This window comes from Homo sapiens, chromosome 4 (genome assembly GCF_000001405.40).
Source record: "Homo sapiens chromosome 4, GRCh38.p14 Primary Assembly".
In the NCBI taxonomy this organism is placed as follows: Eukaryota; Metazoa; Chordata; class Mammalia; order Primates; family Hominidae; genus Homo; species Homo sapiens.
The window spans coordinates 79,832,909-79,858,387 of NC_000004.12; the positions used below are offsets into that span (position 1 = coordinate 79,832,909).

At 35.4% G+C, this 25,479-nt stretch overlaps 1 long non-coding RNA gene and 1 other non-coding gene across 2 annotated transcripts in view; both read left to right on the forward strand.

The window, feature by feature from the left end:
- The window catches only part of PCAT4 (prostate cancer associated transcript 4), a 35,777-nt gene that overhangs the window by 5,438 nt on the left and 4,860 nt on the right, over nt 1–25,479 (forward strand). The gene's annotated exons all lie outside the window — the stretch shown is intronic.
- On the forward strand, nt 10,194–10,320 carry LOC124900174 (small nucleolar RNA SNORA75). The gene has a single exon (XR_007058522.1). It is a non-coding gene; the product is annotated as a small nucleolar RNA SNORA75 (small nucleolar RNA).

The window sequence follows — 25,479 nt, forward strand, 5'->3', positions numbered from 1 at the left end:
AAGACAAGTACTGTATGATCTCACTTACATGTAGATTGAACTCTTTATATGATTTAAAAAGTTTAACACATAGAAGCAGAGAATAGAATGGTGATGACCAGGGACTCTGGGTTGGGGGAGTGGGTTGGAAAGATGTTGGTCCAAAGATACAAAATTTTAGTTACAAGGAATAAATTCTAGAGACCTCTTGTACAACTTGGTGGCTATAGTTACTAACAATATAGTATATTCTTGAAAATTGCCAAAATATAGATTTTAAGTGTACTCTTTATAAAATAATAACTATGTGAGGTAAGACATATGTACACTAGCTCAACTGAGCCATTTCACAATGGATTCATATTTCAAAACATGTTGAACTTGATAAATATATATAATTTTTATCCATTAATTTAAAAATTAGTTAATTTTTTTAAAAAAATAAATATATGTCCTGAGACAATTGTGCATAAAATTTCTGGCTGTTCATATACCTGCTGAGGTCTATTCAGGCAAGCCCTGACCACATTGTCCTCAGATAACAGGTAAAAAACTTGATACTCAAAGAATTTCAGCAGATAGTCCAAAGACACAAAGATATTTATGTAAAAACTGTACTAAAACACAGATTTCTTGCTCAATTACTCTTTCTATTTCTCACTGTCTCTTTTTTGGCTAGGACTTAAGTTAACATTATTCATCTGAAAAGAAAGAAAAAGTACTACTTGAACCAAGTGGTTAAATGTCCAAAATATAGTATGAAAAAAAAAAAACAATTAGAAAAGACTTGAAGCAGGTGTACAAAAAGCTAGTAGAGAGTCTATTGGACATGTATTTTTCTAAAAAAGAATAGCTCAGAAAGGTATCAATCAAAAGATCAAATCAGCAAACAAAGGTTAATTTCAAAATAAGTTATCAAGTTTTTTACTTAAAAGATTGAATATCATGATGGAATTCTATCACCATACTTTTTAAATTCCTCTTTTCTTACATACTACAGCTGCTAACTCTCCCTGGCTTCACTGTTCCTGGGAAACTAGGTGAATGGGTCCCTTGTTGATTGCAGACTCATACCTCTTGTCCTTTTTCTGTTATTTTCCTCCTAATTCTGTATCAGAAAAGCATACTACAGCAGGAAATAGTTTGTAAGCCAGGAGAGAATGAGAAACAGAGCATGTAACATCAGTACGGCCTTTGGCAAGGACAGATTATGGAAATCATCAAGAGTTTTCATCCACTGACAAATTTTTCTAATCTGTAAATGAAAGGAAGAAACAAGCATTCTTTTGGAGCAGGAAAAAGGAAAAATAGGAATGATAAATAAGCTTGGAGAGAGGATTTGAAGAAAACTTGACTTCATCTATGTAGTATTGTCCCTCTATAGTATCCCTATGACAGCAAATAAACAACCTGTATCAGGAGCTGCTTCCAAAGGCTGCTAGGAAATATTACTGGAAATAGACAACAAAATTATTTTTTAAGAAATTTACCTACATTATCTTTTTTCTTTTTTTAAAATGGCTTTATTGAGATATAATTAATATGCTATACATGCATCCATTTAAAGTGGACGATGCAACAGTTTCTAGTATATTTAAAGATATGTGAAACCATCACTGCAGTGAATTTTAGAATATTTTTACCTACCTACAAAAGAAATCTTTTTTTTTTTTTTTTTTTGAGCTGGAGTCTCGCTCTGTTGCCCAGGCTAGAGTGCAGTGGCGCGATCTCTGCTCACTGCAAGCTCTGCCCCCCAGGTTCACGCCATTCTCCTGCCTCAGCCTCCCGAGTAGCTGGGACGACAGCAGGCGCCCGCCACCATGCCTGGCTAATATTTTATATTTTTAATAGAGATGGGGTTTCATTGTGTTAGCCAGGATGGTGGTCTCAATCTCCTGACCTCGTGATCCTCCCACCTAAGCCTCCCAAAGTGCTGGGATTACAGGCATGAGCCACCACGCCGGCCAAAAGAAATCTTGTAACTCTTAGGTATTTTTCCAGGCCTCCCAGCCCTAAGCAACTACTAATCTACCTTCTGCCTCTATAGATTTACCTATTCTTGACATTTCATATAAACAGAATCATATAATACATGCTCTTTAGTGACTGGCATCTTTTACTTAGCATGTTTTAAGGTTCATCCATGTTGTGGCATATATCACATTATTATTTTTTATGGCTAAATAATATTCCATTATATGACTATCCCACACTTTATTAGTTGATAGACATTGTTTAAACCTTATGGCTACTATAAATAAATAATGCTGCTATAAATATTTGGTAGAAGTTTTTGTCATTGTTGTGTTTTTTTGACATATGTTTTTATTTGTCTTGGATATATACTTAGTAGTAGAATAACTATATAGTGGGTTAAACATAGAGTTACCATATGTTATATAGTATATAACACAGATTTACCATGTGATATATGTATACCATATGTTTGCTGATTTGATCTTTTGATTGACACCTTTCTGAGCTATTCCTTTTTAAGAAACATACATATATCATATGGTAACTCTGTATTTAACCCACTTCAGGATCTGTCAGAGTATTTTCCAAGGTGGTTGCCCTATTTTTATTCCCACCAGCAGTGTATGAGCAATTTATCCATATCCTTCTCAATACTTGTTATTATCTGAATTTTAAAACTTTTTGCCATCTTGTTGGGTGTCAAGTAGTGTCTCACTCTGATTTTGGCCTGCATTTTCTTTATGACTAATGATGCCAAGTATCCTTCCATGTGCCTACTAACCATTTTTATATCTTCTTTGGCAAAATGTCTATTCAGATTCTTTGTCTGTTTATTAATCAGATTGCTTTTTGTTATTGAATTCTAAAATTTCATCTTTTTTTAATTTGTTTTTTATTTCAGTAGGTTTCTGGGGAACAGATGGTTATTGATTACATGAATAAGTTCTTTAGTGGTGATTTCTGAGATTTTGGTGCACCCATCACCCAAGCAGTGTACACTGTACCCAATGTGTTGTCTTTTATCTCTTGTCCCCCTCTCACCCTTTCTCCTGAGTCCCCAAAGTGCATTGTATCATTCTTATGCCTTTTTGTCCTCATAGCTTAGTTCCCAATTATGAGTGAGGACATACAATGTTTTGTTGGCCATTCCTGAGTTACTTCACTTACAGTAATGGTCTCCAACTCCATTGAAGTTGCTGCAAATGCCATTATTTTGTTCCTTTTAATGGCTGAGTAGTATTCCATGGTACATTTATAACACTTTTTTTTTTTATCTGCTCATTGCTTGATGGGTGTTTGGGCTGGTTCCATGTATTCAAAATTGCAAATTGTGCTGATATAAACATGCATGTATAAGTATCTTTTTCATATAATGACTTTTTTTTCCTCTGGGTGTAGTGGGATTGCTGGCTCAAATGGTAGATCTACTTTTAGTTCTTTCAGGAATCTCCACAATGTTTTTCACAGTAGTTGTACTAGTTTACATTCCCACCAACAGTGTAAAAGTGTTCCCTTTTCACCACATCCATGCCAACATCTATTATTTTTTGATTCTTTGATTATGGCCATTCTTGCAGGAATGAGGTGATATTATTGCATTGTTGTTTTGATTTGCATTTCCCTGATAATTAGTGATGTTGAGCACTTTTTTCATATGCTTGTTGGCCATTTGTGTATCTTCTTTTGAGAATTGTCTATTCATGTTCTTCACCCACTTTTTGATGGGATTGCTTGTTTTTTTCTTGCTGATTTGTTTGAGTTCTTTGTAGATTCTGGATATTAGTCCTTTGTCAAATATATGGATTATGAAGATTTTCTCCCACTCTGTGGGTTGTCTGTTGACTCTGCTGATTATTTCTTTTGCTGTGCAGAAACTTTTTAGTTTAATTAGGTCTCATCTACTTATCTTTGTTTTTTGTTGCATTTGCTTTTGGGTTCTTGGTCATGAACTCTTTGCCTAAGCCAATGTCTAGAAGGATTTTTCCAATGTTATCTTTTAACATTTTTAAGGTTTCAGGTCTTAGATTTAAGTCTTTAATCCATCTTGAGTTGATTTTTGTATAAGGTAAAAGATGAGGATCCAGCTTCATTTTTCTACATGTGGCTTGCCAATAATTCCAGCACCATTTGTTGAATAGGGTTTCCTTTCCCCACTTTATGTTTTTGTTTGCTTTCCCAAAGATCAGTTGGCTATAAGTATTTGACTTTATTTCTGGACTTTCATTCTGTTCCATTGGTCTATCTTCATATATTCTTGATACAAATGCCCAGTTAGATATATGATTTGCAAATTGTTTTTTCTTCTTCTGTAGATTATTTTTTCACTTTCACGATGGTGTCCTTTGGAACACAAACGTTTTTAATTTTGATGAAGTCCAGTTTATCTCTTTTATTGTTATTTGCATACCTGGAACTCAGTACCAAATTCAAGGCCATGAAGATTTATCCCTATGTTTTTTTCTAAGAGTTTGATATTTTTAGTTCTTACATTGAAGTCTTTGATACATTTTGAGTTAATTAGTATATATGGTGTGAGGTAAGGGTCCAACTTCATTCTTTTTCATGTGGCTATCTAGTTGTCCCAGCACTATTTCTTGAAGAAACTATTCTTTCCTACATTGTATGGTCTTGGCATCCTGGTTGAAAATCAGAGTATAGGTACATGAATGTATTTCTAGACTCTCAATTATATTGTGTTAATCTTTATGCCTACTTTTATGCTAGTAGCACAATATGTTGATTACTGTTGCTTTATAGCAAGTTTTGTAATGGAGAAGTGGTGAATCCTATTTTGTTCTTTTTCAGCATTGTTTTACTATTCTGGGTTCTTTGTAATTCCACATGAATTTTAGAATCAGCTTGACAATTTCTACAAAGAAGCCAAATGAGATTGTGGTATGGATTGCTTTGAATCTGTAGATAAATTTCAGGAGTTATATTAGTTCACTATAACTGCCATAACAAAGTACTGCAGACTGGGTGGTTTAAATAATAGAAATTATTTCCCCACATTTCTGAAGGCCAGGTGTTCAAGATCAAGATGTGCTTAGATTCTGAGTATATTATGGATTCTGCAGCCTCTCCTACTGGCTTGTAGATGGCTATGTTCTCCCTGACTTCATGTGGTCTTCCTTCTATGAGCATTCATGTCTTAATGTCTTCTTTTTATAAGGACACTAGTCATATTGGATTAGGGCCCACCCATATGACTTTTTACTTAATTACCTCTTTAAAGGCCCTATAACCAAACACAGTAACATTCTAGTGTACTGGGATCTAGGACTTCAACATACAAATTTGGTGGGAAGGTGGGCCAGAAACACATTTCAGCTCATAACCAGGAGTTTTGCCATTTTATTTTTATTTTTTTTAATTTTATTATTATTATACTTTAAGTTTTAGGGTACATGTGCACAATGTGCAGGTTAGTTACATATATATACATGTGCCATGTTGGTGTGCTGCACCCATTAACTCATCATTTAGCATTAGGTATATCTCCTAATGCTATCCCTCCCCCCTCCCCCTACCCCACAACAGTCTCCAGAGTGTGATGTTCCCCTTCCTGTGTTCATGTGTTCTCATTGTTCAATTCCCACCTATGAGTGGGAACATGCAGTGTTTGGTTTTTTGTCCTTGCAATAGGTTGCTGAGAATGATGGTTTCCAGTTTCATCCATGTCCCTACAATGGACATGAACTCATCATTTTTTATGGCTGCATAGTATTCCATGGTGCATATGTGCCACATTTTCTTAATCCAATCTATCATTGTTGGACATTTGGGTTGGTTCCAAGTCTTTGCTATTGTGAATAGTGCTGCAATAAACATACGTGTTTATGTGTCTTTATAGCAGCATGATTTATAGTCCTTTGGATATATACCCAGTAATGGGATGGCTGGGTCAAATGGTATTTCTAGTTCTAGATCCCTGAGGAATCGCCACACTGACTTCCACAATGGTTGAACTAGTTTACAGTCCCACCAACAGTGTCAAAGTGTTCCTATTTCTCCACATCCTCTCCAGCACCTGTTGTTTCCTGACTTTTTAATGATTGCCATTCTAAATGGTGTGAGATGATATCTCATTGTGGTTTTGATTTGCATTTCTCTGATGGCCAGTGATGGTGAGCATTTTTTCATGTGTTTTTTGGCTGCATAAATATCTTCTTTTGAGAAGTGTCTGTTCATGTCCTTCACCCACTTTTTGATGGGGTTATTTGTTTTTTTCTTGTAAATTTGTTTGAGTTCACTGTAGATTCTGGATATTAGCCCTTTGTCAGATGAGTAGGTTGCGAAAATTTTCTCCCATTTTGTGGGTTGCCTGTTCACTCTGATGGTAGTTTCTTTTGCTGTGCAGAAGCTCTTGAGTTTAATTAGATCCCATTTGTCAATTTTGGCTTTTGTTGCCACTGCTTTTGGTGTTTTAGACATGGAGTCCTTGCCCATGCCTATGTCCTGAATGGTATTGCCTAGGTTTTCTTCTAGGGTTTTTATGGTTTTAGGTCTAACATGTAAGTCTTTAGTCCATCTTGAATTAATTTTTGTATAAGGTGTAAGGAAGTGATCCAGTTTCATCTTTCTATATATGGCTAGCCAGTTTTCCCAGCACCATTTATTAAATAGGGAATCCTTTCCCCATTGCTTGTTTTTGTCAGGTTTGTCAAAGATCAGATGGTTGTAGATATGTGGCATTATTTCTGAGGGCTCTGTTCTGTTCCATTGCTCTATATCTCTGTCTTGGTACCAGTACCATGCTGTTTTGGTTACTGTAGCCTTGTAGTATAGTTTGAAGTCAGGTAGCGTGATGCCTCCGGCTTTGTTCTTTTGGCTTAGGATTAACTTGGCGATGCAGGCTCTTTTTCGGTTCCATATGAACTTTAAAGTAGTTTTTTCCAATTCTGTGAAGAAAGTCATTGGTAGCTTGATGGGGATGGCGTTGAATCTATAAATTACCTTGGGCAGTATGGCCATTTTCACGATATTGATTCTTCCTACCCATGAGCATGGAATGTGAGTATTGCCATTTTAATAATATAAGGTCTTCCAGTTTATGAACATGAAATGCTATTCCATTGATTTAGGTATTTAATTTAATTTGATATTGTTTTATAGTTTCCAGGACATATGTTTTGTTATTTTATTTAATTATTAAGTATTTTATTCTCTTTTATGTTATCACAAATAGACTTTCCTTAATTTTATTTTTTGATTGTTCATCACAAGCATATCAAAATATAATATATTTTTGTATGTTGATTTTCTACCCTACAACTACAATGAAGTCATTTATTAGTTCTAAAAGAGTTTTTATCTTTTTTTGGTAGATTTTTTTAGCATCTTTTTATACAAGATATTTTATCTCTGAATAGAGATTACTTTTTTCTTTTCAATCTAGATGGCTTTTTTTTTTCTTTTCTGTGGCCCTAGCTATAACCTCTAGTACAATGTTGACTAGAAGTTGTGAGAGTAGATGTCTTGTTTTGTCCTTTATCTGAAGGGGAAAGCATCCATTCTTTCACCATTACATGTAATATCAACTGTGGGTTTTTGTATGTGCCCTATATCGTGTTGAAGAAGTTTCTTTCTATTCCTAGTTTGTTCAGTGTTATTATTATTAAAGATGTTGAATTTTGTCAGATGCTTTTATAAAGTCTATTAAGATTAATATTTGCCTCATTTTTTATTCAATTGATGTGGTGTATATTACATTAATTGATTTGGGGATATTAAACCAACTTACATTCTTGAGATAAATCACACTTAGTTATGGTGTATAATTTATTTTATCTGTTGCTGAATTTAGGCTATTAGTAGTTTGTTGAGAATTTTTGTGTCTATATTCATAAAAGAAACTGGTCTGTAATTTATTTTGCTTTTTATGTCTCTTTCTGGTTTTGGTATCAGTATCATACTGGCATCACAAAATGAACTGAAAAGTGTTCCTTGCTACTCTATTTTTTGAAAGAATATGTGAAGATTTGGTATAAATTCTTTAAATATTTTGTAGAATCCAGTGGTAAAGCAATTTGAGACTAGGCCTTTCTTTGTGTGTAATTTTTAGATTGCTAATTCATTTGCTTCACTTAAAGGTCTATTGAGATTGTCTATTTCTTCTTGAGTCAGTCTTCATATTTTGTGTCTTTCTGAGAATTTGTCCATTTTTATCTAAACTGTCTAATTTATTAGCATGAAATATTTTATAGTATTTCTTTATAATTCTTTTTATTTCTGTAGAGTTGATGGTAGTGTCCCCTCTCAAATCTGATTAGTGATTTCAATCTTCTCTTAGTCTCTTTTTTCTTGAGCAATCTTGACAAAGTTTGTCAACATTATTGATATTTTCAAATAACTGGCTTTTGGTTTACAAATTTTTCCTATTGTATTTCTATTTTTGATTTTATTAATTTCCACTTTAATTATTATTATTTTCTTCCTTCTTCTGGCATTAGGCTTAATTTCCTCTTTTTTACCAGTGTCTTAAGTTGAAATGTTAGGTTATTGGTTGGGAATTTTTTTCTATTTTACCACAGACAATTACAGCTATAAATTCCTTCTAAGCACTGCTCTACTGTCTCTCCTGAGTTTTCGTGGGTTGTTTCCTCATTTTCTCTTATCTCAAATATGTTCTAATTTCCCTATGTTTTCTTCTTTGACATATTCGCTAATAAGACACATGTTGTTTAGAGTTCCCATAAGTATGAGTTTGCCCATTTTGTTTCATTCCATTGTGGTCAAAGAACATATATTGTTTTATCGCTATCTTTTAAGATTTATTAAGTTTTGTTTTATGGTCTAGCATATGATCTACACTGGATAGTGGTCTACATGTATTTGTAGAGAATATATATTCTGCTGTTGGGTGAAGTATTCTATATATGTCTATTAAGTTCACTCAGTTTATATTTTCATTTTACTTTTATATTTTCTGGTTGATCCTCTGCCTATTCTATCTTTTATTGGAACTGGGATATTGAGATCTTTATCTAATATTATCCAATCATTTATTTTTCCTTCATTTATTTTTTAAATATAATTTAATTTTTAGTAGAGACAAGGTCTCACTATGTTGTCCAGGCTTTTCTCAAACTCCTCACCTCAAAGGATCCTCCAGCCTTGGCCTCCCAAAGTGCTAGGATTACAGGCATGAGCCACCACACCTGGCCTTCCTTCATTTCTGTCAGTTTTTGCTTTATGTATTTTGGTGCTTTGTTAGGTGGATATGAATTTATAATTATTATAGTCTTCTGATTTATTGACACATAAAATTTCACTCTTTAGCAATTTTTTTTGTTTTAAAATCAATTGTGTCTGATATTACTATAGCCACTGTAGCTTTCTTGGGGTTGCTCTTTGCATGATATCTTTTCCATCCTTTTACTTTCAATATATTTGTATCTTTGAATCTAAAATGTGTCTCCTGCAGAGAACATGAAGTTGGATCTTATTCTTTAAAACCCAGTCTGACAATCTATGTGTTTTGATAGGATTATTTAATCCATTTACATTTAATGTTATTATTGCTACAGTTGGGTTTACATCTGTCATTTTAACTTTTGTTTTCTGCTTTGTACTGTTTTTGCTCCTCTATTTCACCTTTACTATGTTCTTTGCATTAAATGAATATTTTCTTATGTAGCATACTATTTTTAAATGATTTTTTACTACACAGATTGAGTTATTTCCCTAGTGCTTGTTCCATATATATCTCAATTTATTTGAATTAGCTTCAGATTTACACTAACTTAATTTCAATATGATACAGAAATGTTATTCTTGTAGCACCATTGTCTTTCTTCTTTTATAATACTATTATTATACATATTTCACTCTATAAATGTCTCAAGCTCAACATTTCATGATTATAATTATTACTCAATATAATTTAAGCATTTTAAAGAAGCCATTAAAGGAGAGGAGAACAAGTATATATTTATAGCTTTTGTTATACTAGCCTTTTTATTTATCATTTCTGGATCTATTTGTTTTTGTAGATTTGAGTTACCATATGGAGTCACTTTCATAGCCTAATTGAGCTGTGTTTCCACCCACTTTTTTTGTGCTGTTATTGGCAAATGTATTACATTTCTATATTCATGGTATACATTTTATTTTGTTTCATCCAGTTGCCTTTTAAATCAGTCAAGAGAAGAAATATGTGTTTATACTCTTGTGATCACATAATTACATTTTCAGGTACTCTTTGTTTATCTGTGTGGATTCAAAAAATGAGGTCAGACTTCTCACTGAGCTTCTTTCTGTCTGTTGCTGGCAGCTTATGGATTCATATGAGCAGAGAGAATCACAGAACTAGCATTACTTTTGTCTTTACAGGAGTATATTTGGCTGTCTTGTGAGATATTACGGTAAAAAAAAATTAGAAATCAAAGAAAAGAAAAATGAGGTCACTTGCTTTTAGCCTAAAAAATTTTCCTAAGTATTTCTTGTAAGGTAGGTCTACTAACAACAAATCAGTTCACTTTTTGTTTATCTTTTAATGTCATTTTCCTATTTCAATTTTGATAGTTTTGCTGTACATAGGATTCTTGGTTGAAAGGTTTTTTTTTTCCTTTGAGTGCTTTGATTGTGTTATCCATCCTGTCTTTACCTCCCTTCCCATCTGTGGACTCCATTGTTTCTGATGAGAATTTAACTTTAATCTTCTTGAAGTTCCCTTGTAAATAATGAGTCACTTTTCTCTTGGTGCTTTCAAGATTTTTGTCCTTGCCTTTGGCTTTCAGCATTTTCACAATGACTTGTCTGTGAATCTCTTTACATTCATCCTACTTGAAATTTGTTGAGCTTCCTAGATGCATAAATTAATGTTTTCCAATACATTTGGTAATATTTTAGCTATTGTTTCTTCAAATACTCTTTTTGTTCCTTTCTTTCTGTTTTTCAGATTGCATAATTTTTATCAATTTTTTATATTACTAATTCTTTCTTCTGCTTGTTCAAATATACTGTTGAGCCTCTCTAGTGAATTTTTTACTTCAGTAATTAAGTTTTCAAATCCAGAATTACCATTTGTTTCTTTTTTTAAAAAAAATCTGTCTCTATATTCTCTATTTCTTGCATCATTATCATTACACCTTCCTTTACTTATTTTATCATAGTTTTCTTTGAAGATATTTATAATGGCTATTTAGAAATCTTTGTCAAACCTGATATCTGCTCATTTACACAGGTAGTTTATAGTATGTGAGGTGTTTTTCCAGCATATGAATCATATGTTCTTTTTCTTTGTAGGTCTTGTAACTTTTGTTGCAAAGAACATTATAGATAATATAGCAATTCTGGGTATTTGTTCCTCCCCTCCAGGGCTTGAAATTGTTATTGATTTTTATTTGTTTAGTGACTGACTGAATTATTTTAGTGAAGTATGTTACCTACCAAACCCCTTCCTGCTCAGGGAACTTCTAATGCTGTTTTTTGGACTTGAAGAGTCTGTGATCACACTAGAATGACAGTAGTTTTGACAGATATCTCCTTGACTCTTTCCCTGACCACACCCAGCTGTTAAGCCCAATAATTGCCAGATTATTGTTCTATTGTTTTCAGCAATGTGCTGGAGTATGAATTTCTCAGCAGACTGATCCAGTCAAATGCAGACTTCTTTGAAGGAATAGCTTCAGAGGTAGTGTTTGAAATTTGGTCTGGCCTATGAAGGGTTCCTCCATGCTGTCTCTTTCTGTGGCTCTGTCTGACAAACTAGCCAGTCAATATTTTAGCTTATATCCCCAAAGAATCTACCACTTTTCTCCCAATTGCCTGTCACTACAATCCCCACTTTTTTGAGATCGTATTTAGGCTTAAAATTTTCCCCACTGTATTGCAAATGAAGTCAGTCCTCTTGGGAAGAGATTCAGATTGTTTTTATAGCCTGATTCTCCCACCCTGGGCAAAATCTATGAGCCATAGTTCTGGACCTGGGCATAGGGATAATGTGCATTTCCCTCTCTGAGTAGCAGTTCCACTGTTTTGGAAGCTGAATACTGAATAGAAGGGCACAGGCAGTAGCTTCAGGCCTTATAAGCTTGCCTCTCTTAGCCTGGAATCTCTACCTTACAAGCCAAGGGAAAGACAGGCTCCAATATTCTAGTGCAGTTATGCTCAAGGAGTTAGAGTCTCTGTTCCATGCATGGGGGGCTTGAGGTTGTGGGGGTGGGAAGGAAGGAGCTCTCATCTCTCAATTATACTTACACAGAATTTAACCTCAGAACAAGTAGCTAGGAGCAGCATGAGAAATGCTAATGTCCTGCCCTTCCTAGGAGAATAGCACTCTGACCTGGAGCTGAGATTAGAGGCAACCCTGTGTTCTTAGCTGTACAAATCTGGAGTGGAGTTTGCATCTTGCTGATGTGGGAGGGCAAAGCGGGGAATGTGTCTTGGTTCAAATACCACAAGCTCTTGCTGCTTTTGCCAAGATTTAGTAGATTTTTTAAAATTAATATTTCTTTACTTTCTGTATATTTTTCATTGAGCCCAAGAGGCGGAGGTTGCAGTGAGCTGAGGGAGCACCACTGCACTCCAGCCTGGGCAAAAGAGTGGGACTCTCAAAAAATATAGATAGATAGATACATAGATACATAGATAGATAGATACTAGTCTTTGAATTACTTTGAGAAAAAAACTTTATGGATGAAACATTATTATTTTTATTGTATAGATGAGAAAGACGTTTATAGATGAGAAAGCTGTTATTATTCTATAGTACAAGTCATTGCTGGGAGAAGATTTGAATAGAGTTCTTAAAAATGCAGACTTCAAAGCCCCTTCTCTTAATGTATTATACTAGTTCATTTAATAGCAAAAAAAAAAGATACAAGAGGAAACTGATTCCTTCAAAAAACATTGAGATAATTTACTCAAGATTTCAAGGTGCAGAGGACTATTTTAACAGGTATCCTAGAGAGCAGATGTTCTGTTTTGTTTTATATTCTTAGTATTGAGGGAATGTCTAGTAATAAGGATTACTTAATAGATTAGCTGTTGAATTAATAAAAAATTGAATTCTTCAGGGAAAATTTAAGACTCTGTCCTTTGTATTTTTCATTTCAGATCGTGATCATTTTGAGATAAGGCATAACTATTTCACAGATGATGAGGGGAAATTCTATGTAGAATTACTGGAGGGAAAGCCTGAAAGACAAGGATATATAGTTAAAGATAAATCAAGTCCAAGAGCTATTAAGGCAATAAAAACACATATAGACTTTATATTGACTTTTGATACTTCTAGGCAATTGAGAACACATAAATAAATAGTCAGCTTGTGAGTACTGTGTAACTGCTTAAACCTTGACTATTTTTTATTATCTATATTTGCAAGTTTCCTGGCAATTTTAATTAAGCTGATAGCAAAGTTAAACTAAATAATAATTATTTTACTTAATGTATAGTAATATAGCTGTTATATTTTCTATATAATTATGACATATTATAGGTAATATACTACATATTAATATGTAATTATACCTAAATATCATCCATATTATAAAGAAAACATTTTGTGCTAAGGTTGTTGCACAACTTTAAATCTTGATATAACTGTATTTTAAGCAATATTCCAAGTAGTTATAATAATCATTTTATGTACACTTTAGGGATTTAATTTATTTTGAATATTTTTTAAGGTAGTGTAGTTTTGTTGTTGTTGTCATTGTTGTTGTTTTTTAGAAAGCATATACCTTTAAATGTATGACCTCTACACATTTGGCAGTTTATGGTGACTGGCATCCTCTAATCTGATGGCAGTTAATGAAATTACTGGCATAATACCTAGGAAAATGTTTGTCCAAATATGATACTCAGGCCATATGCAATAGAAATTCTAAGAGTCTTCCTTACAAGTAGATCTCTTGGCCTCAACCTGTAGCCTTTCCAACAGAATCTCTGGCAATGTGGCCCAGGAATTTACAGTTTTTATTATGCATTCCAAGATCACTCTATGCACTCTCACATTTGACAACCATGGATCAAGCAAATCAAATCCTAATAAATTTAACCTGAACATCCAACCTATTCCCTAAGTACCAAATATTATATAGAAGGATATAGGAAAGAACCACTGAAGAAATTTGATATTTCTGTTTTGACAATAGACCTACAAAGCATGATAAATTAGACCTATAAACTATGATAAGGAAAGAAACTGATTTCTCCTTTGGGGGGATTAGGTTAAATAGGTAATGGCACATTAAAGAACTAGAATTGGCCAGGTGCAGTGACTCATGTCTATAATCCCAGCATTTTGGGAGGCTGAGGCAGGTGTATCACCTGAGGTCAGAAGTTCAAGACCAGCTTGGCCAATATGGTGAAACCCCTTCTCTACTAAAAATACAGAAATTATCTGGGTGTGGTGGCACGTGCCTGTAATCCCAGCTACTCGGGAGCTGAGGCAGGAGAATCGCTCGAATTCAGGAGGCAGAGGCTAAAGTGAGCTGAGATCGTGTGCCACTGTACTCCAGCCTGGCCAACAAGAGTGAGACTCTGTCTCAAAAAGAAAAAAATATATAAAGAAAGAAAGAACTAAAATTCATCAAAGGTCACTTAAAGCAAAGCACTCTATTTATTCACATTTTATAGATACTAATTATGTTTTCACTCATGCTTTTCAGTATTTCAAAATAAAATGGCTCCTCATTTTCATGCCAAAACATCTTTACAAAAATTGTTACAGATTATTTCCAATACCTTTTGCTCAGCAATTTGGCATCAACACTACTCAGGCAACAACATTCATATGGTAATAGTTAAATTTGTTTTTCACTAGGGCCCTCTCAGCCAAATTTTTCATTTCCAGCCTGCGCATGCTGAACTCTAGAAGATGTTGTAATTATTTTATTGAACATGGGTATTTCTAAATCAATTAATATCATGTATGTTGCCAATTATTTTCCTGCTTAAAGAGTGGGCGTTACTCTGTAAATTTGTTTCTTTTAATCTTATTTCTCAGGTAACAGTTAGACTGGATTTGAATTTCACCTCTTTCTCTTCTTAGCTGCATGGCATTGCAAGAATGTTAACCTCTTTGAAGCTTACTTTCCTCATCTCTAAAATGAAAATAACACTTATTTTGCAGTGTTGTCAGGAGTAAAGATGTTGACTGAGATAATGCATGGAGATGGAGCAGAGTACTTGGCACATAGTAACCGATTCTAGTTTTTTTGGTGCCTAACAAATTACCCCCAACCTATAGAAGCAAACACTTCACTTTGTCCCTCATTTGTTAGGCTAGGGCTTGGCTAGACCATTTACTCTATGGGGCTCTGAAATGGTTGTACTCAGATGTTGGCTGAAACTACAGTTATCTGAAAGCCCAACTGGACTTGATGTCAAAGATGGCTCACTCAAAAACTAGCACTTGAAGTGGTATAAAAGTCTGGGCCTCTTGTCCCAATTCAGGCATTGACTCCTGCACCTGAAGGAACAATAATCAAAGATCAGAGGCATAGAAGTCTGGAAAAGAAGGAAGTGGATAAAATAATGGAAGTGGGCACAGAGTATGTGAATATGCAAATATCATGACTCACATTAATACCCACTGAAGAGCATCCATCACAGAATAGGCACCCAACAACCAACTGGACAAGATGATCCCTCCTTTGGGTGTCAACCATCTTATTTACTCAGCCACATTTTTGCGGACATAATGAGTCATGAATGAAATGGCTATTGACTCAAGGATAGAGGATAACCCTGACATAATGAGATACAGAACTAAATGGGGATAGAGGACTAAATAGCATGGGCTTTCACTTACCACAAATGATCTAGTTACTGCCTCTATGGAATGCCTTAACACTAGCAGCAATGTGACACCATCCCTGAGACTATCCAACTGTCTAATTTCAATTGAAATCTGGCTTTTCATTTCATACCTAGAGAAAATTTTTCCAACACTACTATTATTTACCTGAACCATTGATATGGTATTACATACAACATTGCCTCACACTAGTAGACACTAACAGCAAAGAAGATGTAAGAATGTGTACATACTCACAGAATCCATTGGATCTATTAGACACCTCATCACCCAGAAGCAGTTAGTCTGATGAAACAATAGGATATGATGTTAAGTGGCTTTGCAAAGGCAACAGCTCAAGGATAACATCTTGTGAGGTTGGGATGCAGTCCCTTAGAATGTGGCTTATACTCTGAACCAATAGCCCATTCCCAGTCCTGTATCCCCAGTAGAAAATGTACACAGGTTTGGAAACCAAAGGTAGAAGTAGCGTTGGTGATTTTCACCATCACTCTCAGTGGCTCACTTTCAGAATATGTGCTTCCTGTCACTGCCATTTTAGGTTGTATTAGAAGTCCTATTTCCTAGGATGGACTGCTTCCATCAGTGTATCACTTTAAGGGTTCTACTATGCTTGAAGCTATGACTATCACTGGTCGTGCTGAACTCATCATGCTGGAGGATCAGCAGACAAAGAGTTAACTACACTGGGGATAATAATTGACCTTGATTTCCATGAGGAATTAGAATTGCTGTTACACATTGAGATCAAGCAAGAATGTATCTGGAAAGGAGGAGACTCACTGGGATGTCTTTTGGAGCTTCTACACTCAGTGATAACAGAATCAGCAACTTCAGTGACCACAGTCCAGCAAGGGCAAGGAAACTAGGGCTTCAAACCCTTAGTTCTGGGATCTCTCTACAAGGCATACAACTAGACCAGCTACTGGACAAATATAAGGAAAATTCAAAATAGATGGTGGAAAAGAGAAAATATTGATCGTGGCTTTAGGACTAGCTATGACTAGTGATGACTGTAGTTCATTCAACTCTACTATTAGTTCAACTCTGTTATTAAATCCTTGCAAGTTTGGCCACTACCTTGAAAAAGATTCTGTGATGGACTGGAGGGAATAAGAATAACTGAGAGGTGAAAGAGATGAACTGTAGGTAAAAGGAATGATACCTCTTGGGCTCTACTTCGAATCTTCTTTATAGCCTACTCCAAGACTGCGGTGTTGATCAGTTCTTTGAAGGTTTCAATTAGTTTCCCAAAAGTGCAACCTGACAGCACTTGATACAGGCCTGGGCTAAATATCTCTCAATTCCAGCTGGGTTTTGTTTGGTTGGTTTGATGTGCCCACATGGAAATTCTGCAAGAACTTAATGCATCATTCAGAAGTGCAAGGGAGTAAATATCAGCGAGGTGTTCCTTGACCAATGGGACACAGAAGCTAAAGGAAGGATATCTTCTCTACTCCTTTTGGACCAATTCTGAAGCGCATACCATAAAACTCTTCACAGTGACCCATAGAACTGGGCACTGCTGCTGTGGCAGACTCAATAATGCATTATTGCATTTGCTTTTCCTCTTTCCTATTCAATCTTTCACCACTTCTTGCTTTCAAAGATTGCTTCATAAATAAACTACCTCTACAGAAGCTTTATCTTAGAATCTGGTTTCAGAGGATGTCTAAAACAAATGATTGTTAGGCCTGGATTATTTCACTTGATATAAGACAAAGGGTAAATACTTGAGGGGATGAATGCCCCATTCTTCATGATGTGTTTGTTGTACATTGTATGCCTGTATCAAAACATCTGTGTACTCCATAAATATATACACCTACTATGTACCCACAAAAATAAAATAAAATAATTTAAAATAGAAAAAATATGTAAACAAGTGACTATTAGGGAATCTAAGGTCATGGTAAGCCAAAGTAAAAGAATTTCTGGAACATGAAAATATTAATCATGTTGATGCAGTATACTTCTACACAGGGATGTGGGAAACTTTCCTTGTTTATTACATCAGGAGTTGGCCCAATTAAGTTATGTTTGAAACCTTTAGAAAAGTACCTAATGAGGGCATTTAATTCTCATTATTTCTAATTCTAAGCCTGGAAATTATCATAATATCTAGATCTAAAGAGTTCAAAACATGATGTATCCAAGTCTGGAAAGATTTCAATCTGACCCTCCCATTTATGTCATCGGGATGCGTGCAAGAAGAGCCAAAGACAATGCTTGGCTGCCCTTTACACAAAGGGAAGTCTCCCTGCTATGGAAGATAGACACTGACACATGTCATTTCTGATTTTAAAACACTTTCCACTCATCTCTGAGCATTTCTCAAAAAGCTTGAGAATCTGGTGCCGTAAAACATAGCAAACAAGATGAATTCAGAATTCACAAACATTGTTTTCAACTTCCTCTGCTTGGCATATTTTTTTGAGCATTTCACAGTGGGATACACGCTTCCAGGTTTTCTTTGAATAAACAAATTTTAAAACCTCAAAACTCTGTGTTGACATTAGTTTTAAAGGTTAGATGAAGTATATGATTGCAAATATGATTGCAAATAACAAACTTTAGTTATTGAGATTTTCAGATTTGTCACAATTCAAATATTTTATCATGCCTGAAAGTTAAAACTGAACATTTTTAGAGTTTGAGATAAGTTTTCCAAAAGCTCCCCATTATCTATAACTCCCTTACTAACTAAATTTGAAGGGTGCTGACATTTTTTGTTTTCTCAAATTAGATAGTAGTGATAACTGTGAAATTAATAACAGAAGTTAAATGCTATCATAAACATAAAACTTATTTTAAAATTAGTGTGTCCTTGACCCACTAGAAGAGAGGCTATCATTATTTAAATGATATTCATTTGAATGAATTATGATGATGATAAAGATTATTATAGGTAGCACTTACTGAGGACTTTCTATGTCACAAGCACTTTGCTAAGTATTTTACATATATTATTCTATTTAATTCTCAAACAACTGTGTGAAGTAGATTCTGATATCATCTCTATTTTGTAGGTGTGATGACTCAGGCACAGAGAGATTAAAAATTTTCACAATAACACCCAGCTTGTGAATTATAAAGCAGCAATGAAATTCATTTAAAGAGCCAAAATAGAGGGGAAAAATTGCCTCATGTATCTCTGAGATATGTGTTAGTCATTGGTTATTTCAATATAGAGGAATAAGATAAAATTACATGATAACAACTGAAACATACTTTCATTTTGTATTACGGATACATCAACAGTTCTAAAGGATCATTTTTTTAAAAAATGAGATTTTAAAAAAATGAGTGACAATGTGAAGAGTGACACTGAACCATTGAAAGAACCCTTAAAATATGGATTTCAATGATTAAAACACAATGGGAATGTATGTATTTTCTCAGGACTTTATGCCCTATTGTTGTATCAAGAGTATCTGTTCTTAGGCTTTGGTAAACATGTGTGTCATCACATAACCAAATGCTAAAACATATACAAAACTTTAAGCCTTGTTTACAAAAGTTTTTTGCCCTGCAATGTGGTCACATCACTCAAACTTGCATTTTGTTGTTGTTTTTCTTTCTCCTCACACTGACATTGTGTTTGATAAAAGTAACCTCAGGATCCTTAAGTTTACTTGGTAAAAAGAGGATTTCTAGACCCTCTATAGAATCCTTGGGGATTTTTTCAGCCATCCCTTCCCAGCTGTTCCCTCTCCACATGGCTGTGTTCCGAGAAAATGATGCAAGGCTGTGAAATGGGGCTATGCTTGGGATCCAGCTGACAGGAAGGCATGCCGGGAAGGTCACAGCAACTTCCATGTAAACAGAGCTGTGGTTTGCCTGGCTCTAAGTTAACAGGATAAGAGGTTCTCCTCACAGAAGGGGGCACACAGACAAACAGCACCCAGCATGTTCTGTTCCAGATGTTCTTCCTGTCATTTATGGCATATGAGGAGGTGCCTTTGATGTTTCCCTCCTTTCTTGTCAGTATGATTCCACGAGCTTCATTATAAATTATTTTACCAAGGGATGAGTCGTATTGTATTATAATCAGAGCAGGCCCTGAGCACAATTACAAACCAAACCAGATTCATCCACTGAAGCCTCTTCCCTTTTGACGTTTTCAATCATCATCTTTTCCTTTTCTATTAGATTTTGAATATCCTTAAGTGGCACTCATCTGATGTTAAAGTGTCACGCCTTGTGCCATGCCTCAGCCTGATGTTCCTCATGACAGTGTTCTAAATCTTATCCCAACCAAAATTCACTTGTGCATTGCCCCTTCCTCCTTGTTCTATCATCACAAAATCTGTGGTATTTAATTGGTATGTAGTTTCAATAAGAACTGATGAGCTGACTAGGTTCAAATGTTGGGAAGGCCATCTAGAAATTATCGATTATGCCAAAAAGCAAAGCTAAGAGAGAGACTTCCAAGCCATACTTGATACTGGAGAAGACTGTATTTGCAACTATTTCAAGTTTCTGCTATTCCTTGGCCATCAATGCCTTCTTCACATTGTGGTTATGTCATTATATATTTTCACTCCTGTAGGAGAAGACTTAAAACATTTTTTTAAAATTCTTAAGTTATTGTCTCTTTATTGCACTGCAATTTTGTCTGTTGCTTAGAATTTGTGATGGAAAGAAATTCCCAGCACCTTGTAATCCAGGTCTTAGCCTTTCCAGTCTATCCAGATTGCTCAGTTAAACCCCAGCTATAAGCCTACCTCCAACTTTTTCTTTACCAAAATAAAAAACTAAATAAGGGCTGGTAAGGGTAAAGGGATTACTGAAAAGAGAAACAAATCCTATTCCCTTCAAAATTCTTGGACTTTTTTAAAGTATGATTTTAATTAATAATCTGACTGGCTCTAAGGTAGTGTTCTACATTAGCCAGAGATTATCAGTTATTTTTATGGAAAAAAAATTATTAGGCTCAGTATCTTAGCCCAGGGGAAAAAGTATAGAACCTGGAGTCAGAAAAAAAAAAAAGATATTTAATTCTCAGCTTTGCCACTTTCATCTATGTGGGCTTGATCCTGTTAGTTACCTCTATAGGTCTCAGTTTTCCTGCTGGTAAAACAGGTAAAATAAAATCTACTCATCAGGATTGCTACAAAATTAAAATAAATTCTATGATATGTTACACATAAGGATCTTTGTTTATTAGCACATACTTAATTTTAAAAAAAGAAACACAGAAAAGAGAAAATAAACAATAAACAACCAGGCTGAAACAAATATATGGCCTTAAATGTTCTCTGGTGAATGGCATGTCTTACAGTGTGCATCCCCTTTAGGGCTGTATGATCCATCAAGAATAAAAGACCGTCACTCTGATGTAATATTCGAAAACTTCTGTGATCCAATCTCTAGCCTCTTTCCTGCCTCTTCTTCCAAAGCTTTATTCTTTCACTCTAAAGTTGTGTCATTCACACTAAACTGCCTTGATTTGCTGAATTCCCCTGCCAAATCACATCTCATTACTTTTCCATAAGCCAGTCCTTCTACCTAGAAAATATTTTTCCATCTTAATCTCCTGAAGAAGAAGCTAAGACCCAACTTCTTTCTGAAGCTTTATCTTCCTTCCCAACTCACACATGCACACGCGCGCACACACACACACACACACACACTAAATACATATACACTGCCTCACTCTTTCATTTGTGCCCATGCTATACCACAAAGATTCTAAAATTGAGGTTAAGCCTGTGTGGATTGCATGAATGACCTGCAGGAAATCTAAACCCTCTTGCGATTGTATGTAATATTTTCTTGGTGAGTACCAGTGCACATTTTGTTTTTCCTGGAAATAGGATTTGCAGCTGTGATCATATTCTCAGTAGGGTCTCTGATCCAAGAGAATGTAAAAGCCACTGTCACACCTTTACAATGGAAATCATTACTGTATGGCAATAATGCTTGCTGAGATCAAGTGTTATTAATCTCTGTTTTCCAAGCTTCTAACATTTACTAAATACTGAAAATATATTTGATAGATGATTAATTGCATTTGCAAGAAGAGAACATTCTCGGGGTACTGCAAATTATAGTCATAATGTAATATACAACATTAAAGCTTGGTTGATGCAGTTTACAATTTACTAATAATTAGTGCTTTTTCTACATACAAAATTAATTATAGCATAATAAAATCCAATAGCATTTGTTCTTAATTCTCCTCTGATCTGCATTCTGTTGTTTATTCCCATTTGTTCTGATAAGGTCCGTTGTCTCTAATGTTGCTTTCTAAAGGGTAAGAAATAAATCAATGGTACTTAGCTTTTCTAACCATCTGGTCTGGCAAACATCCCAAAATTAATGTTTAAATCCGGGTGCAGTTCATGTATTTTTGTCTTGTGTTAGGGAACATCTCTGGAAGTAGGGAATGAAGGGTAAGATTTGCTCTCTAATTTCACTGAGAAATTTGGCCTTTTTATACATATCACTCTGTAAATATTATAGATTTCCATTACATGTTATGTGGTTCAGTTACTCAGCAAAGGCCACAGTCAGTTCAAAAACTTCCTCTTAGGACACTTTCTTTTATGTTTTAGAGCAGAAGTTAGCAAACTTTTCCCCATAAAAGGCCAGATAGTAAATACTTTAGCCTTTGTAGGCCATAAAGTTCCTGTTGCAATTATTCAACACTGCTGTTGAAGTGTGAAAGCAGCCATAGAAAATATGTAAACAAATGGGCGTGGCTGTGTGCTGATAAAATTTATTTACAAAAACCGGCAGTAGGCTGGAGTTTGCTGATGCCTCTTTAGAGCAAAGCTTTTTGCAAAACCATTAATTTATTCCTTGATCATTTCAAGTTTCCACTGTGTAAGTTTACTGGCTGTGATTTATACAGGGAGATGTGTAATGTTTTTGAGGCCCAGCTTTCTCATTTGTAAATCAGCAATAAAAACACAACTCTGAAGGATTATTTGGAAGATTGGGGAATATGTTTTAGTATGCATGGAATCCTTACTCATACTTAGTGCTTAATAAATATGGTGAGAACATTCCATTAGAATCTCTCTATTTGAATCTGCTTGACCATGCTCATCAAAAACTAACAGCTCATATGTACTGAGTGCTTACCATAAGAAGAAGTAAGGACTTTTTATATACTATCTCATTTAATCCTCACAACAATATTATGAGGTAGGCACTACTGTATTCCCATTTTCCAGAGAAGAAAATTGAGGAATAGATATATTATATAATTTTTCCAAGTTCACACAGCTAGTAATTTGCAGAGCCAAGATTGAAAGTTTTCAGGATGAATGTGTTAATTAGGTATAAATAATTAGTTAATAGTCATCTGGGGGAAAGAGCAAAATGGACAAGTGTAATAAGCTATTCCCATTTTACTGTGGGAGGGACATTTCTTTTTAAATGGCCGAAAGTTCTTTGATACTTCTCCCAAGAATGTGGTGGTCTATAATCTCCTCCCATTGAATCTAGGAGGACTTACAACTGGTTTGGCCAATGGAGTATGATGTAAATGAAGCTGTGTGACTTCTGAGGTTAGGTAAGAAAAGGCTTTGAGGTCCCTGGTTCTCTTGGGGCGTTCACTCTGGGGCAGCCTGCTGCCATGGAAGAAGTCCAACCATCCAAGAAAGACTATATGTAGTCTATAAAGGCAACCATCCTAATTGAGTTCCCAGCAGCAGCCAGCAGCCAGCAGCCAGCAGCCAGCATGTAGTTGAACTATCTTTTATGTCTATTCCAACTTTATCTTCAGGTAACTGCAGCCCCAGTGCTCATCTGATTGCACCTGGATGAGAGACTCAAAGCAACTGTCTAGCTAAGCCCTTCCAAAAATTCCCGACCAGGAATTCATGAGCAAAGTATGGCAATCATGCAGAGAGACAGTTTTAACTTCCTTCCTCTCCCTGATACTCACCTTCAGCTAGGTGTCAAGACTCTTTTTTCTCTACAATATCTTTTCGTCAGTCACCCTCTCTCCATTTGCGTGCTACTACTGTATTTCTAACTAGTATTATCTCCTATCTTGAACAAATATAAAAGCCTTCTGTTTTTATCCATACCTCTGATCTCTCCCCAGTATCATTTAATTTGAAAATTAATTCTTCTAAAGCATGTGTGATACTAAGATTCACTTTATTGAAAGAGTATATTAGTCTGTTTTCATACTGCTAATAAAGACATACAAAAGACTGGATAATTTATAAAGGAGAGAGGTTTAATGGACTCACAGTTCCACATGGCTGGGGAGGCCTCACAATCATGGCGGAAGGCAAAGGAGAAGCAAAGGCGCGTCTTACATGGTGGCAGGCAAGAGAGCTTGTGCAGGGGAATTCCCATTTATAAAACCATCAGATCTCATGAGACTTATTCACTACCATGAGAAGATTAAAGGGGAAACTGCCCCCATGATTCAGTTATCTCCACCTGGCCCCACCCTTGACATATGAGGATTATTACAATTCAAGGTAAGATTTGGGTGGGCACATAGCCAAATCATATCAAAGAGAATCAATGCTGTCTTGTGTAATTAAGAATATTACTCTGTAACCCAGAATTGTTTGGTTAGATCATAAAAGGCTATGCCCCTTCCTCCTGGTTCTCTAGGGTTGCTCACTTTGGGAAGACTGTCACCATGTAAGAAGTCCCTGGGCTCCCCCATTTAATAAAAAATGCTGTTCTTTAACCCAGAATTCCAGAACCCTCATACTGTAACCCTAGACTGCTTTTCTCACCTTACCCTGCACTGTTTCCTCTATGCATTGTCAGGTCCTATATTTACCTTCTGTGGCAGTGAAATTGATGAAGACAGGAATGATAGGGCAGCTGCTGCTTGGTGATTGAGTGTATTTGGATAACAAGGGGGCAAATATAAAAAAGGATTCTGGGATTTCGTAGTTAGATGAATAAAATGTAATATCTCCAATAGAAAGCCTAACGTCAGATGAGAGAATTCATTTGAACAAAAACATGTATCTATCTAATATAAAACCACTATTATGAAAATCACTCTTGTGTACAACTCAATTCTCTTGCACCTCTCTCATTTTATCATTTTAGGCTGCAAAAACCTCAATTGGATTACGTTCAACTCTGATTACTCTGCACCTACACTCAGCTGAACATGGCTGGAAAAAAGCACCCAACTTAAATGTATATGCCCCACTGTCAAATGGGCCCCTAGCGTTGCTCGGAAACTATATACATTTTCTGAGTGTATTCACTCTCCCACATTTCTAGAGGACCATTTCTAACTTCCTTCTCTATCCTCACACATCAGCATCTCTTCTCCCATCTTTACTTTGGCTGTTAATCTTGCTTCTTATTTCACAAGGGAAATAAAAACAATGAAGAGACAGCTCCCACAAGCTTGCATCACCACATCTAACCACCTCTCTGCCTTCATGCCCAATACATTCCTCCCAGATTCCTGTCATCCTGAAATTTTGTACAAATTGCTCTTATCAAAGGTCCCTCGTACCCTGGATTGCATGACCTCTTGCCTACTCAAGTACCTAGCTCTATCAGTTCTTTCTCTTCTTCTGCATCATAGTTTTCCCTCTCTACCAAATAGTTTCTAACAGTGTACATGCATATTTTTATCTCTCCAATATTAGCAGAAGAATTCTTCTCTTGACCTCCTGGGCCCCCTTATAGCTACTTCACTCTGGTCTTCTCTTTACAAGTTGTTTGTGTTCACAGTTTTTAATTTTCTTTTCCCTAACTCTTGAACTCCTTCTGACTTTTTCCCATACCATTCTACTGAGACT